Source organism: Homo sapiens, chromosome 13 (genome assembly GCF_000001405.40).
Source record: "Homo sapiens chromosome 13, GRCh38.p14 Primary Assembly".
Lineage (NCBI taxonomy): Eukaryota > Metazoa > Chordata > Mammalia > Primates > Hominidae > Homo > Homo sapiens.
In genome coordinates, this window is record NC_000013.11 from 92528685 (window position 1) to 92546853 (window position 18169).

Here is an 18169-nt window from a genome sequence, read left to right on the forward strand (position 1 = left end):
ACATGAATTTTAAATTTAATTTAATAAGGTAAATGTTCAAGTGTTAAGTGTTCTTTAAGCAGAAGCAGTTTAAAAATTGAGTTCTATTTTAGTAGTGCTTTAAATATGTCATTAAAATAATTCTTTCTTAATAGGGTACCCATATTTTATAAAATTTTTATAAAATAGGGTTAGACTATTTTCTTGAAATAAATAGGCACTTATTAATGATCATAAAGCTTACAACTTATGTCTTTTGCAGGATAAGAACTGTGAAAATCTAATGAAGTAAATTTTAGCTAAAGTAAGATGTACTGCATTATTACTGCACCAGTGTCAATCCATTTTACATTGGAAAAAAAGATAATTATTATCTGCCAATTATATTTGCATGCTCTCTTTAAGGTAGAACATTTAAGACTGAATCTTGCTTTTTAGAATACTTCATAAAAAAACAAGAGTTCAAAATATTGTGTTGTTAATTGAAAAGATATGTAATGCAGATTAGGATATTTTAACAAACAGTTAAAATTTTGCCTTCCTGCCCAATATTTTAAAATTCTCAGTGCAAAGGGCCTCAAATCAATAATTTGCATGAATTCAATATGGCAATTAGGATGAGTCTTAAAGACATTGAATCTATGAAAATAAAACAGCCTTCACCTTAAGATTTATTGAAGATTTTACATTGTACAAAGCAAACAAATGAACTCCAATACCAAGATACACAAAAAGATATTATGGAATATTATTTAAGGTCTTATAATAAACATATTTTTACATATCAAATCTCCAGTAATTGAAGAATTAATGATCAAATCAGCAACACACATAATGACATAAGCTACAAAAATACCTTAAAGAATAGTAACTGTCTTTAGGTGGCTTAATCTAATATAGTAATGTAACCAGCTGGCAAGTAACCTGCTATTTAGCTGCTCTGCCCACTCCAACCTCCAGAATTCTGATCACAGTTCTCAGCTGGACTTACATCATTTAAATATTCTTCCTAAACTATATAAGAAAACACTTTTAACCTAGAATTTTACAAATACAACACAAATATTAAGAAAAATTATGATCACACCATAGAACTAGTCATATTAAGCACTAAAATTAACAACACGTTATAAATATGGCTGGGCATGATGGCTCTCAGCTGTAATCACAGCAGTTTGGGAGGCCGAGGCGGGGGCATCACTTGAGCTCATGAGTTCAAGACCAACCTGGGCAACATGGAAGAACCCCGTCTCTACTATAAATTTAAAAAATTAGCCCAGCGTGGTAGTGCGCCCCTGTAGTCCCAGCTACTCTGGGGGCTGAGGCGGGGGAGGATGGCTTGAGCCCAGGAGGTAGTTGCAGTGAGCTCTCATCGTGCCACTGCACCCCAGCCTGGGCGGCAGAGCAAAACCCTGTCTCACAACAAAAAACCCAGAACAAAACAACAAAATAATAATATGCAGCATTGTCCTAAGCATCGTATCAAATTTCTCATTACTGGAGAATTTATAGAACACTTACAGATTTTAGACTGGGATGTGAGCTATTATATAATAAACACACAATGAAATCTTAGGAGCTTCCATGTTAAAAAGTGCTACTTTTTTCATCACGCATTAGTTCAATTTAGAGCATATGGATTAGGGTCAGGGTGGAGGGGAGGGCTCAGCTCTCTGCATTTATTCAAGGACACATGTAGTGCCACTGCCATCCACCCACTAAAGCCTCAGAGTTCCCCACTGTATTTTGTCAGTGCAGCCAGTGGAGGCAAGAAAAAAGAGAAAACATGAAGAATGGCATTGAAGTTTTTTTGTTTTGTTTTTATTTTTTTTTCCATATCTGAAAGTAGAATACGTACTTCCAGCCAATTATATTGGTTAGAACTCCCTCCTGTGGCTTCAGACAAGTACACAGAAGCCTGGGAAATGCAGTCTACTTGTGTACCGAAGAGGAAAAGGGTTTGATAGGCCCAAGGCATTATCTCTAACATTCAAGGTTTCCAATTTAAGTAAAATATTTGGGTTGAGTTCTTTATTTTTCCTATGTCAACACCATTTTCACACCCTCACGTGTGAATAAATGCCTTCCACCATACCTTCTTAAGAACTCATACTTGTGCACATTTCTGTATGTCTCTCCTACTGCTACCTTATTTCAGGTTCTTACTCTTTCTAATTGAGTTTGGTGAATCATTACATAAATGACGATCTTCCTCTGAATGCTTTCCAGGGATCTCCATATAGATTCCCAAGTGATCTTTTGAAAAGCACACATGATCCTGTCACTTTCTGCTTAAATCCTTCAGTAGTTACGTTCCTCTATAGCAAAAGCCCGAATACTGAGCAGGTAATATAAATACCTAAATCCTTAGCACAATATGACAGAAATTGAAGTTTCTAATATCAAGGCTTTCATTATGATTGTAGAATCTTTCTGGTTGTACCACATCTTAGATGTTGAAACTTGGCAGATTTTTTTCTGAAGCCAAAGCCTATATTCTTTTTCTACTCTGACAGTTGATAAGTTAATGTGAGCCATCCATAATCTCACTGATCTCAAGCAATCATACCCATGTAATAAAATATTAATATTAGGTAAGAATATTGTCACAACAGAGATTTTGGCTATCTAAAACTGAATAATACATGCTTGAATATTGAATAGATCACTAGTTTTAGGATATACTACTTTTACTGGATTGCTACAATGAATATATATATTTAAAATATATAGAGAGAAATATGAAAAAATATATTTCATTGTATGCAATCCAGTAAAACTAATACACTAAATATACATATTTCTGTATATATATTCATATAAAGAGATATATGTTTATACAGATATATATGTATACATATGCATCTTTTTATATATAAAGATACATACAGTATGTGTCTGTATAAACAGATTAAATCTTATGATCACCTTCATCAGATCTTGCCAGAAATGAGTTCCCCACACCACATGCTCTGCCTTGCTTCAGTTCAAAAACCATTCCTCAAACTCTTCTGCTCCTATTCCATAGGATTCCATTGCCTCTGTTGACAACGAAGACTGATATTCTATGCGTACTGATCTCCACTGTCAGCGATCAGGGCCGGTGCCGTCTCTCTGGTTTCCTGAGGGAAGGATATACTACCATTTTTATATAATGTTTTTGTCATGAATTATGTTGTCCTAAGGGTAGGAGTAATATGGTTATCATTTCACACAGTCCAACTGAGATCAGTTTGACATTTTTCATTTAAAAGTAATCAAATTTGGACATTGGATAGTACAGTGTCATTAAGTTACCTGTTAACTCTTGCACCTCCCCAGATGCACTTTAGAGAATTTTATATGGTTGCTTCTTTTTCTCACCCTGGGTCTACTTCCAATTAAAGGCAGGTGGCTCATCCCTTATATCCATATCTCCAGCCTGCAAATAAAAATCTATCACTGACTTCCACAGAAAAGAGGAAGTTTCTATTGCCCTGTTTCTTAAGTCCCCATTTAATTCCTCAGGAGTGACACAAATGACAATTTCTTTTAGGGAAAAATCCCTATCCACAGGGCTGCAGTTTAGCTCTTTGACCTCAGTAAGACAATCATACACATAACTCAAACATTCATTCATTAATTCAATATATATATTATATACCAACTGTGAACTAGACATTGATGATTATTAAAATCGTGAAAACAAGCTAATCTCATTGAACTTACTTTCTAGGAGGAGTAGATGATCATAAATAAAAATATTTCATGCAGTAGATTTCAATGAAAGACAAAAGATGATGTAAGTGGCTTATAATTTATGGAACAGCCAAAATAGTATAATATCCAAATGTAGGTTACTAAATCCCAAAGAAATACAAAACACTGTATGTGACACCAAATAGGATTGCTGCAAGCTGGCACCAATTCTTTTTTTCACTTATCAGAGGATCCCCCAAAAGACTGAAGTCTAATCTCTTTCCTTTTCATTTTATAATCTCTAAATCTGGCTTATTCAGGGATTTGTAAAATTATGGTAACATAGCATGAACTATATGAAGACTTAGTTATTTTCACTGGGGTTTCAGGTCCAAACCTCTCCATTGCTTATTCATATTTTCAAGAGTGGTTATTTAACATTCTTATTTCACTTTCCTTCAGGGCCCAATACACTAATTTATTTGTAAAAAAGAACATCTTTTGCAAAATGAAAGAACATATAACAAACAGAGTTATAAACAGTCAAAACAATGTGGGTTTAGGTAGATCCTAAGTGGCAGTTTTATTAAGCTGACATTTTTTTAAACTGTTATTATTAATTTGGCAAGTACTAACATAATCCTTTCTATATGACAGTCTCATTTTATGACAAATTACAGAATAATTATTATTGCTTTATGGAAAAAATATATTCTTCAGTATAAATGCAGTTTTAAAAAGTTGGTTCATTTCTTCTTGATATTTATTATAGGAATTTATTTCAAATTTTATTACAGAATCCAATGGGAAAAACAATTTAATATGCAACCATTTACCTTAAAAGTACTTTTTAAATAAAATATGTATGGTGAAAATACATGTACAAATGTAAACTTAACTTCCACTTTTATTTTACTTCACTGTATGTTCTCATACTGTAGGTTTTGTATGTTCATCTGTTTTCTTTGAGCTAGCAAGCATATCTTGATAAATTGTGAAATGCCCCTTCAATTCTTTACTTTTTTCCTAAATCTTCTAATTCTTTCTTCATTAACATTACCATCAGAACATTTCTTTATAATGGGAATATTCATTTACTTGTGTTATTATTGTGTCTAAACATTGTATTGAAGGAAAGAAGCTAACATATTATGCTGAAACCCGTATAATATAGCTTTGGATATTAAATATAAGCATGTTTTTTTACATAAGAGTGAGTTTTGGTACCTAAAACAGGTATCTCCTCAGCCCCATGTCTTGGTTTAACACATACTCGGCAGAAACTCAAGCCCCATAGCGTTAAATAGAGGGTAAGTGTATGTTTGAAAAGATCTCATTGGTAGGTTTTCATCAGAAGAAATACATTCTGGTATCAAAGCCATTGCTTTGTGAGAGCAAAAGGACTAGACAGAGGAAAGTAAGATTAATGGGAATTCATGATGGCGGGCTCAACTTTTTTATTTCCTTCCTTTTTATTATAGGAACCACATCTTTTTCAGGGTCCTTGGAGAATATTTAAGATTGGAACTGTTTACATTATTAATAAAACTTTCACACAAGTTAGATTTGCAATTCATAAACCTAACTAAAAGTGTGAATTTTCTTCATAACAAAGCCTTTTCCTCCAATACTACTTGGGCGCTGATACTAAATGACAGAAAGAGACCTGATGAGGTGGCTCATGCCTATCATCCCAGCACTTTGGGAAGCTTAAGTGAGAAGATCACTTGAGCCCATTAGATCAAGACCAGCCTGGGCAATATAGTGAGATTTTATCTCTATAAAAAAGTTTTAAAAAAATAGCTGAGCAGAGTGCCACTCTGTTGTCCCAGCTACTTGGGAGGTTGAGATAGGATGGTCGCTTGAGCCTGGGAGGAAAAGGTTGCAGTGAACATGCCACTGCACTCCAGCCTGGGTGACAGAGTGCAACTCTGTCTCCAATAAATAGATGACAGAAGTCAAGTTCCTTAAAATATAGTTGTGTCCTATACAACTTTTTTCCTTTCTCAAGGCCTTTCACCTTGGAAGAATATACTTCTGCACCAAGTAAGAACAGCGACAAAACAGTTGGGCAAAGGAGGTTGATGGCATGTAATCATGTATTTTATATGTGTTCTGCCTCATAACAGTAACTTCCTAGACAGCATTTTTCAAACATAACATTCTACATGTATTTCACAGCATTTAATGGAAGGCAGAATCATTACCAGATTTTTTAGGTAGAAAATGGAATTTTTAGTAAGGTGGGAAAATTCCCTGGACCTTTACTGCAAAATATTAATTCAAGTAGCTTTTACTGAGTATTTCATATATGGAAAAATATAAGATTGTGTGATATTTTCTCTTCACTCAAAAAGCTTACAAGTAGTAGAGGAAACAAAATATGAATTAAGCAGTAAAATGAAATGGTATCAAATTAAATTTTTAAAAGGATTATGTATTAAGATATAAAACAATTCACGAATGGTACAAGATAAAAACAATATGTCAAAACATGTAGTACAAGAAATAATAGCTAGAGGAGGATAGGAAAGGAGAAACAAACACATCCAAAGGTTTAAGGAAGAAAGCCATATTAGTTTTCAGTTGTACTTCCAACGATACCTATGTAATCATTTCCTTGATCTTAGACTGAATCTTTCTGTGCTCGATTCTGGCCCACAGAGTCAAATGAGGTATTATTAGAGTTCTAGTCAAAATTCATTAAATTGCAAAGAACGGGAACCCATTTAAATTAGGTTAGTTTCAGAGGGTTACTTTGAATAATTCTGGGAAATGTCACAGACTTCCATGGTCAGGAATGTGGCTGGGCTTCATGGGGTAAGCCATGAAGACCTATGGTGCTGTGGCCTCTCCCTTTGTTGTTTCTTCTCTGAGTCCATATGTTTCTCATGTCTGCTTCATTCTACTCTTTGTTAATTAATCATTCTCTTCAGTTCATGCACACGCTACCAAAACACCAAGGGTTCCGTCTAGGTCTTCCTGCTTGCTGCGCAGAAAGGCAATCACTGAGACAGCAACTATTGCCAGGGAAGAGGCTTTCATCAGGCGCCGCAACCCAGGAGACTGGAGCTCAGCCTCAAATCCATCTCCCTGACTGACTAAAACTAGTGGTTTATATAGAGGGAAAGAAAACAGGAACTAAGGGGGGGTCCAGAAGCAATCGTGATGAATGAGGGTTCTGGCATCTCATTGGAGGCAGTGATTTGGTGGGTTTCTGTTCTTTGACACTTTTTGAGAGGCCTCAGAATAAGTTCTTGAGGAAGGAACTCAAACAAATAGAAATTTTAAGCTTTAAGACTAGAATAGTCCATTTCTATGTTTATTAAAAAAAAAAACAACCAGTCTGTGGGACTATTGGGTTGCTTTCATATGATCCTCTTTGCCAATAACTTACTTTGCACATAGCTTTTATTTGCCTTAGAAATTTCATTCTAAGAAACACCACATTCCCTTGCACTTGTATATTAGAAATGGAAACAACAAGGCATGGATGTTGGAATATAGCAAGTTTGAGGACAATATAAAAACTCACCTCAATGGAGTAGTGTGAGCATTGATAATCATGATTATCTTAATCAAAATATGTATTAAATTAAGATGCAAACATGAAAAACTGTTTGCAAAAATTAGACAAGCAGCAGATATATTTAATAGTGAATTTTCAGGATATATTTTTCATGTAACATTAGCTTACCAGAAATATTAATAGTTATTATATGAAAAATGGATGAGTGTTACAATATATTTGGGTGTCTTTTACTAAGTAATGTTCAAGGTTATTTAATGTGCATCGTCTCTAAGCCTTTCGTACACCAATATGCGGTATTATTCTTCATGGCAGATAGTAGAATGCAACATTTTTAAAATCATTTGACTATAGTTCCCAACTATCCATGTCAGCTACATTTCCGATAGTATTCAGTTAATAGTTTTAATAAATACTGAATATATACACAGATATGTAAATATATGAGTGAAAGATGTATACCAATAAAAAGTAGAAGAACCCAATGTTAATTCCATTACTAATAAAAGGGAAATAGATTTGAACAAGGTGCTAGTTTAATTAAATTAGCATACTTTTTGTTACAAAGATCAGAATATTCAGAGATAGGCCCTCTCACCTCTCCTGGATTGGAAAGCAGTCTGGTAATTTATACAGGTGGCGCTGAGAAAATGTAAACCATTAGATTCCATAACCCCACTCTAGGTGTCCAGCCTGAGGGAAAAACAAAATGAAAAGAAAGTTTATGAGCAAAGATTTTCATTTTGGTGTTGTTTATAATGACAAAAATCTGAAGCAAGTGTTCTCAGGTAGGGAAATTGTTAAATTATGGCATATCTACAAATATAGCCTTGAGTAACCATGAATATCATGGTTTTTGGAGACTGATGATCTGGACAAAGTCTTTTGGTATAAATTTAATTCAAAAAGACCATAAAATTGTATATGTATTAATATCATAATTTTTTATACATTAATGATAGAAAAAAGAGTCAAATACAATATATCAAATTTTAATCTTTTATTTTTGTTATGCAGGCTTATTAGTGTATATGTCTGTCTAATTCTTTGTAAGTTTTGATCTCTTGGCATTTTTCAAATCTTCTGCTTTGTTCATATTTATCAAAGAAAATATGTAATGAGGTATGTTGCAGTTGTTAGCTCTGAAAAGGTTTATATCTCCTTGTTTTTAGCTTACAATTAAGGGGTATTCTAAGAACTGTTACCACATTTAAAATTCCATATCTAAAGCAGTATGAAGAAAAGGTATTCATTTACATTATGTTTTAGCAACTCGTAAACAATCTTTTAAATGTAAATATCTGAATGCATATTTCAAAGTTAAAAATTAAAGCATTTTTCAAGTGCAGATTTACAATAGTGTAGTTGGTATAAGCATCTGTGAAAGAAAATTTATCATGTCAGAAAATAATTGAAATTGTGACTGAAAGGTTCCTAAGAACAACTTTTTATCTGTGGCTTAAATAAATGCTTTCGATTTCAAAGGCAACTCTAACTGCACCATATAGCTCAAGTGATCAGTAAAAGTAGACAACTGACTTCTTCAAGGAGTTTTAATTTTTATGTGATTTGATCAACTCACAGACTATAAATTCCACTGTCAGAGCTAAACATATGCACAGGCTTATCTGAATTCTTGTATTCCAGGTATTGAGTAAAATATGTTCATGTCACTAGCTTCTTTCAAGTAGTGTTTATCATCATCTCCCTGATTGCCTAATATAAGTTTACAACCAGTCTCCTAGGTGTACTAGTACATTACAGCTCTCCCACAGATATCATAAACAGCAACATCTTTGGTAATGAATGTCAAAATCCTGCCAGCCTTAGAGTATATTATCCATCTCCCTGTCTCATTGCTGACATACCAAGTGAGAAGCTCATTCCAAGCTCCTTAGTCAAACAAACCTTAAGATACAAAGTTGACGCTAGTTGCATGAGGAAGGCGTTTTATAAATCCAATCAATTATAAAGACACTGAATAAATCTCATCTTAATAGCATCACTGTCTCAGTCTTTTTAATTTTTTTCTTAATGTGTCTCCTATTGTGGAAATTTTTGAAAGGGTGGGATTTTAAGGCTAGAAGGAACCTTAAAGATGCTGGTCTGAACATTTAATTTTTCATGTTAAGAAGCTTAAAGAAGAATGAGGTTAATACATTTCTTTAAAATTACACTGGAAGCTGGTGACCTATTTAGAACTACAACTAAAGTGTTTTGACTCCCTGTCTGATGCTAGTTTCATTAGACCAGGCTAACTCACCAAATAACTTGAAATTTTCCAAACTAGTCTGTTTAGAGTAACCACATTTTGCGTATGTAAAAATGGATTATCTATTCCTCGTCCTCCACTTCCGTTCCCTCTCCTCTTTTCCCCACCTGATCTTCCTTCTCTCCTCCCCTTTTCCTCCTTTTTCTTTCTTCCCTTCTCTTTCCTTCCTTTTATCTATCCCTTTCTACCTCCCTCCTTCCTGTCCTACTCTTTTCTTTCTGTCTCCTTTCTTTCCCTCTCTCTTGCTTCACTCCTTCATTCCTTCTTCCCTACCTCTCTTCCTCCTTTTTCCCATTTCTTTTTTCTTTCTTTCTTTCTTTCTTTTTTTTTTTAATTACACTTTAAGTTCTGGGATACATGTGCAGAATTTGCAGGTTTGTTACATAGGTATACATGTGCCATGGTGGTTTGCTACACCCATCAACCCGTCATCTACATTAGGTATTTCTCCTAATGCTATCCCTCCCCTTGCAACTCACCACCCAGCAGGCCCCGGTGTGTGATGTTCCCCTCCCTGTGCCCATATGTTCTCATTGTTCAACTCCCACTTATGAGTGAGAACATACAGTGTTTGGTTTTCTGTTCCTGTGTTAGTTTGCTCAGAATGATGGTTTCCAGCTTCATCCATGTCCCTGCAAAGGACATGAACTCATATATATATACCTTGTATATATATATACACCATATATATATACCTTGTATATATATATATACACCATATATATATACCTTGTATATATATATACACCATATATATATACCTTGTATATATATATACACCATATATATATACCTTGTATATATATATACACCATATATATATACCTTGTATATATATATATACCATATATATATACTTTATATATTTTATATATATTATTCTATAGTAGAATGATTTATAATCCTTTGGGTATATAGTAGAATGATTTATAATCCTTTGGGTATATAGTAGAATGATTTATAATCCTTTGGGTATATAGTAGAATGATTTATAATACTTTGGGTATATAGTAGAATGATTTATAATCCTTTGGGTATATACTCAGTAATGGGATCTCTGGTCAAATGGTATATCTAGTTCTAGATCCTTGAGGAATCGCCACACTGTCTTCCACAATGGTTGAGCTAATTTACACTCCCACTAACAGTGTAAAAGTGTTCCTATTTCTCCACATCTTCTCCAGCATCTGTTGTTTCCTGACTTTTTAATGATCGCCACTCTAACTGGTTGAGATGATATCTGATGGTGGTTTTGATTCGCATTTCTCTGATGACCAGTGATGATGAGCATTTTTTCATATGTTTGTTGCCGCATAAATGTCTTCTTTTGAAAAGTGTCTGTTCATATCCTTTGTGCACTTTTTGATGGGGTTGTTTATTTTTTTCTTGTAAATTTGTTTAAGTTCTTTGTAGATTCTGGATATTAGCCATTTATCAGATGGGTAGATTGCAAAAATTTTCTCCCATTCTGTAGGTTGCCTGTTCACTCTGATGATAGTTTTTTCTTTCTGTCTCTCTTTCTTTCCATCCTTCCCTTTCCAACCTTCCCCTTCTTTTGCCTCCTTATAGCCTCCTTTGCCCCAGTATCTTGGTAATATTGGTACTCACCTCTCTATATGCACTTACTTCACAGAACACATTTTGATCATGTCTTCTATATCATTTTCCCTGGCTTAAACATTTTGAGAAGGATGTACATTGGGGCTAGTAATTCTTTGCCACCCCCCAGTTTTCTTAATTCATTGGCTTAAATCCAATCAAAGAACCAAAAATTTAGAATTAATTAATAAGTCTATGTAATTGATGGTAAGATTCTTTTCTGAATTTTCTATATTATTATAGAAACAAACATTTTCTTTAAGAATGCACTTTTAAGGACCTTATATCACTAGTTTTAGATTAACTGACTTTGGTTTTCATATTCATTATGTGACTGTTTATAGATGTTGGGGCCTTTCCACATTTGATTTGCAAAATAACAATATATCGATATAGATTAAAATAAACCAAAAAATCTCCAGCGTTGCTCATATCTGTTCATCAATATGAAAAGCTCTATCATGAATAATGTGGCAACGTATATGAAGAAAACATTTTTAGACAAAGCTATTCAGTGCTTTTCTCTTCTTCTTTCAACACATAAATAAAAGCAATTGCTATGTAGCTTCCTAGCTGCATGAGATGTGCCTTAAGGTGTTAGATGACTATAAATATGAATACGATAATAGTGGTCCTATAGAAAAGTATAATCAGGAGTTGTGAATTAAATAAAGAAAAAATAATGTGATAAAATATTAGCGTTTGGTGATAGGGGATACAAGTTATTTTCTTACCGTTGATATTTAATAATGTTATTTAAAAATACATTTAAAGTTGATCTAAGCTATTTTTACAAAATTGGATCCATTCGCAAATGTCTGGGGTAATTTATTAATTGATTTGACCAGCTTATTTTTGGAATGGCCAACCAGTGGTCCAATTCAAAACTATTTCATTGATTAGGAAAAAGAGGAGGAAGGTTTTGTGGAAGAAAACTTGAGTAGAAAATAATTAATGGCTACATATGCCCTCTATACAAAATTATAATGATAAATACTTCTGGGACTAGGGAAAATATCATCTAATGACAACATGTATATTACACTGTAGAGAACTTTTACTTTTGTTGTATGACCATTGTCCTTACAAAACCTCAGAATGGTAATCATGTTAATAAAATAATGAGAACACTAATGTCCAAGAAGACCAGCAGTGTTACCTCATTGGGTGAAGTATGGTAGGTGGACTAGCAGGGAATACTAGCTGGTTCTAAAATGTAAATGTAGAGAATTACATAAACACTCATAGAACTCATAGATTCCCATATTGGATATAACAGGTGAAGATTCAAGTAAATAAGGACATATACATGTGGTTTATTATAATGATGTTAATTTTAAAATAATGTTTATGAAGGTTATGGCATAGTATAGAGAAATACTGAGTTTACAGTATTAAATAAATAGAAAAAATGTAAAAAATCTTTTAGTAACCACAAGCGTATTTTAAAATGTTTCTGAAATGCGTGTAAGGTGGTACATGAAAATGTAGAAATTGAATCCCTTGGGTGTTACTATGGTGTTTGGCAAGGTACTACAAGATGAATGGTTTTGTATCTATGCAATACTTTCCAGTATTTTAAAAATATTATATGAAAATGTATTTATTACGGGGAAATAAGAACTTAAAAACATAAACTTGGATGAAATAAAAACATATAATTTGAGAAAAAATCAACTTATTGCATGAAAAGTTAATACATTGATAATTTGCATGTTCCTTTCTTTGTGTTGTGCCTGTTAAATTCTTTTTACTCAACTTCATTTGATTTTCTATTTTCTTTCTTATTTTAGATACTAGTTACATTGTTAACACCCTGCTCTAGAAATAGCTTTTTTTTGCTGTGTTAATTGTGTCTTTTAATGAACAGAAGTTCTTAATTTTAATGAAACCTACTTTATTGATGTTTTCTGTTATGAAAAGTGTTTTTGGAGAATGTTCATGACCATCCCAGCCTCATGAGTATTTTCTCCTACGCTATTTTCTAACTTTTTTGTTTGTTTGTTTTTACTTTGCGCATGTATGTCTACTAGTCCATATGGAATTCATTTTTGTGTCATGTAAATTAGAAATCAAGTTTCATTTTAATTTTTCCACAGGGATATTCAGTTGCTCCAGGACCATTTACCAAAGACATTATTTTTTTTACTTCATTCCAGTGGCATGCTTATGTTAGATTAAATGACTAAATATTTGTAGGTCTACTTCTGAAGTCTTTTCTCTTCCATTGATTTATTTCTCTGTTCTTGCACCAGAAAGGGTCTGTTTTAACTACTTTTGTTTTATAATAAATTTCCACTTTTAAAATTTTAATTGACACATAACAATTGTATATAATCTGGAATAAAGCATAATGTATCAATAGCTTTATACCATGTGTAATGATCAAATCAGGGTAATTAGCATATCCATCACCTCATACATTTATCATTTCTTAGTGTTGGGAACATTTAATATCCTCTCTCCCACCTATTTGAAAATATACTAAGTTGTTAAATGTAGTCACTCTACAGTGCTATGGAACACTAGACTCTATTCCTCCTATCTAGCTGTAATTTTATATCAATTAACCAACCTCACCATATTTATTCCCCTGAATCCCCACCTATCTTTCCCAGTCTCTAGAAACTACCATTCCACTCTCTGCTTTTATGAGATCAACATTTTCAGCTTCTACATATGAGTGATAACATGTAGTATTTATCTTTCGGTGCCTGGCTCATTTCCCTTGACATAATGTCATCTCTTATCGTTCATCTTTGCAATTTGGTGGTTTTCGGTAGTTATAAGTTTTGATTACTTTGTTTTTCTCGTTTGTGTATTTGCTCTACCAATGAGTTTTATATACTTTTGCATTTTTTCACGATGTTAATTATTGTCTTTTCCCTTCCAGATGTAAGACTCACTTGCGCGTTTCTTGTACGGCAAACCTACTTGTAATTAATAATCGCAATTTTTGCTTGTCTGGGAAAGACTTTGTCTTTCACTCCTGAAGTGTATTCCCGTTAGGTACAGTATTCTTGACTGGCAGTTATTTTTTGCTTTCAGTACTTTAAATATATAATTCCATGTTTTCCTGGCATGTAAGTTTTCTGCTAAGGAATCTGCTGTTAGTCTATTAATGATTCCCTTATATGTGACTTGATGTTTTTCTCTTGCTGTTTTTAGAATTCTCTTTTTGTCTTGGAAGTTTGACTATATTATGCCCCAGATAAGACCTTTTTGGATTGAATCTATTAGCATATCTTTGAGCTTCCTAAATCTAGATGCCCATATCTCTCCCAACATTTGGAAAGTTTTCAGTATTAATTACATTAAATAAGTGTTGCATGCCTTTTCTCACCTCTTCATCTTCTGCAACTCCTGTAATACAAATATTTGCTTGTTTTATGCTGTCTCACAACTCCTATAGACTTCCTTCATTTTTTAAAAATTCATTTTCTCTATTTGTCTGTGTCATATCAAAATACCTGTCTTCACATTCAGAAATTCTTTATTCTGCTTGATCTAGTCTTTTAAGTTCTCAATTGTGTGTTTTATTTTATTCATGAAATTCTTCAACTCACAATTTGTTTCTCTCTCTTAAATTTCTCATTCAGATCATGAATTGTTTATCTGATTTTGTTGAATTGTCTCTGTATTCTCTTGTGTCTCAATGAGTTTCCTTAAAATATTTATTTTGATGTTTTTTTTCTGGTGACTTAAGCATGTAGGGGAAGTGTGACTGCTCTGGGTATCCAAGGTACTAGTTTCTCAGAAAGTAGGGTACTGCTTCAGCTCAGGCGTAGGGGATATGACTACTCTCAGTGACAATGGCACCATTTTCCTAGGATGCAGGGTGCCACTTCAGTTTCAGCATAAAGTCTAGGGTACAAGATTTACTGGGAAGGATAGAAGGAGAGTCTCTGCCAAGGCACTGATTTTACAGGAGAGAGTGCGCAGCTATAGCTGTGAATATAGCTATATTAGATGAAGGTTTATTTTCTATTTTTTTAATGCAAGGAAGACTAAAATTTTTTATCTAAATATTATCTTTTCAATATATTTGAACTCTTTCTATATATTTAAAATTGACAAACGTTTAAGTGTTATTTTTTAACTATTGCAGTTTACACTTTGCAACATAAAAATGCATCTCATGTGTAGTTTAGGCACAAGATTCTCCAGTTTCAGAATACATATCAAAATACATGCTAATGTTATGTTATTGGGCTATATTGCTTTGTTTTGCTTGTTGTTTTTTTTTTAAATACTACATTGCCAAACTTAAATTTCAAAATGCCAAATAGAAGTACCCTTGATATAGTGAATGTATATTAAGTAACTGAAGTTCCTTGGTCATATTGACTAATATAAAATGTTAATTATACCAAACCTGGTTTGAGAGGGAGGTGTGATTTGTAACCTCAGTTTTCCATGATGTTGGGTTCACTTGTAGACTTGCTTAGTATTTCCATCACCACCCATCCTGGTTGTGATAATTAACAGAAAACAAGCATTTGAAAGGCACTAGCTAAAGCCAGGAGCAAACTGTTTCTGAAGCCTCATCCCAGACCCATAGAGACTCTGGAAATACATTGGCATTTAATAGAAAGGTGTTTTCTTAACATTTTTGTAGCTACAAAAGCCCACTTGGGGAATTGTCTCATAAAAATGTGACATTGCTCAAAGGAGTATTTAAATATGCCCTCTTGCGAGAATAGACCTGGAGGAATTTTCTGTGTGACAATTTTTTAAGAGACATTATTTGGGTGTTATTATTGATGGTTTTTATCTTCTGTTTTGATTTTATTTTTTCTCAGCTCTTACTGTCTTATAACCCTAGTGGCTTTTGATTGTTTGTTTGTTTTCCCAACACATGTGTCAAATATTCCATGAAGCAGCTGGCTCTTCCCTCGTTTTGGGCCTACTAATCTAGGGCCAATTTTTTTGTTGTATTAGTAGTGAAACATAATTTATTTTTATTTCTTCTTTTTTTGGTCATTTTATTATTTGGAAAGAAGCCTACACTAAATATGTGAGCTGAAATAACTTGCTTGACACTGAAATTTAGTTTCCACATTATTTAGATAATTTCTTCATTTGTTTTAGGATCATCTATTCCTTTTTTATGTGAATGAAGGGGGTAAAGTTAAAAAACTCTCATTGAGAGTTAAGAGATTTTATTTTATTTTATTTTTTATTTTTTTTATTATACTTTAAGTTTTAGGGTACCTGTGCACAACGTGCAGGTTTGTTACATATGTATACATGTGCCAGGTTGGTGTGCTGCACCCATTAACTCGTCATTTAGCATTAGGTATATCTCCTAATGCTATACCTCCCCCCTCACCCCACCCCACAACAGGCCCCGGTGTGTGATGTTCCCCTTCCTGTGTCCATGTGTTCTCATTGTTCAATTCCCACCTATGAGTGAGAACATGTGGTGGTTGGTTTTTTGTCCTCGTGATAGTTTGCTGAGAATGATGGTTTCCAGCTTCATCCATGTCCCTACAAAGGACATGAACTCATCATTTTTTATTGCTGCATAGTATTCCATGGTGTATATGTGCCACATTTTCTTAATCCAGTCTATCATTGTTGGACATCTGGGTTGGTTCCAATTCTTTGCTATTGTGAATAGTGCTGCAATAAACATACGTGTGCATGTGTCTTTATAGCAGCATGTTTTATAATCCTTTGGGTATATACCCAGTAATGGGATGGCTGGGTCAAATGGTATTTCTAGTTCTAGATCCCTGAGGAATCACCACACTGACTTCCACAATGGTTGAACTAGTTTATAGTCCCACCAACAGTGTAAAAGTGTTCTTATTTCTCCACATCCTCTCCAGCACCTGTTGTTTCCTGACTTTTTAATGATCGCCATTCTAACTGGTGTGAGACGGTATCTCATTGTAGTTTTGACTTGCTTTTCTCTGATGGCCAGTGATCATGAGCATTTTTTCATGTGTGTTTTGGCTGCATAAATGTCTTCTTTTGAGAAGTGTCTGTTCATATCCTTTGCCCACTTTTTGATGGGGTTGTTTGTTTTTTTCTTGTAAATTTGTTTGAGTTCATTGTAGATTCTGGATATTAGCCGTTTGTCAGATGAGTAGGTTGCAAAAATTTTCTCCCATTTTGTAGGTTGCCTGTTCACTCTGATGGTAGTTTCTTTTGCTGTGCAGAAGCTCTTTAGTTTAATTAGATCCCATTTGTCAATTTTGGCTTTTGTTGCCATTGCTTTCGGTGTTTTAGACATGAAGTCCTTACCCATGCCTATATCCTGAATGGTGTTGCCTAGGTTTTCTTCTAGAGAAACCCACAGCCAATATCATACTGAATGGACACAAACTGGAAGCATTCCCTTGGAAAACTGGCACAAGACAGGGATGCTCTCTCTCACCACTCCTATTCAACATAGTGTTGGAAGTTCTGGCCAGGGCAACTTCAGGCAGGAGAAGGAAATAAAGGGTATTCAATTTGGAAAAGAGGAAGTCAAATTGTCCGCATTTGCAGATGACATGATTGTATATCTAGAAAACCCCATCGTCTCAACCCAAGATCTCCTCAAGCTGATAGGCAACTTCAGCAAAGTCTCAGGATAAAAAAATCAATGTGCAAAAATCACAAACATTCTTATACACCAATAACAGACACACAGAGAGCCAAATCATGAGTGAACTCCCATTCACAATTGCTTCAAAGAGAATAAATTACCTAGGAATCCAACTTACAAGGGATGGGAAGGACCTCTTCAAGGAGAACTACAGACTACTGCTCAATGAAATAAAAAAGGATACAAACAAATGGAAGACCATTCCATGCTCATGGGTAGGAAGAATCAATATTGTGAAAATGGGCATACTGTCCAAGGTAATTTATAGATTCAATGCCATCCCCATCAAATTACCAATGACTTTCTTCACAGAATTGGAAAAAACTACTTTAAAGTTCATATGGAAACAAAAAAGAGCCCACATTGCCAAGTCAATCCTAAGCCAAAAGAACAAAGCTGGAGGCATCACGCTACCTGACTTCAAACTATGCTACAAGGCTACAGTAACCAAAACAGCATGGTACTGCTACCAAAACAGAGATATAGACCAATGGAACAGAACAGAGCCCTCAGA

General features: G+C 34.0%; 1 protein-coding gene and 1 long non-coding RNA gene across 3 annotated transcripts in view; one reads left to right on the forward strand and one right to left on the reverse strand.

The window, feature by feature from the left end:
• The window catches only part of GPC5 (glypican 5), a 1468617-nt gene that overhangs the window by 1130064 nt on the left and 320384 nt on the right, over positions 1-18169 (forward strand). The gene's annotated exons all lie outside the window — the stretch shown is intronic.
• Positions 628-7839, reverse strand: LOC124903190 (uncharacterized). Its single transcript, XR_007063832.1, has 2 exons — positions 7785-7839; positions 628-3400 (listed from the first exon to the last, which is right to left on the reverse strand). It is a non-coding gene; the product is annotated as an uncharacterized LOC124903190 (long non-coding RNA).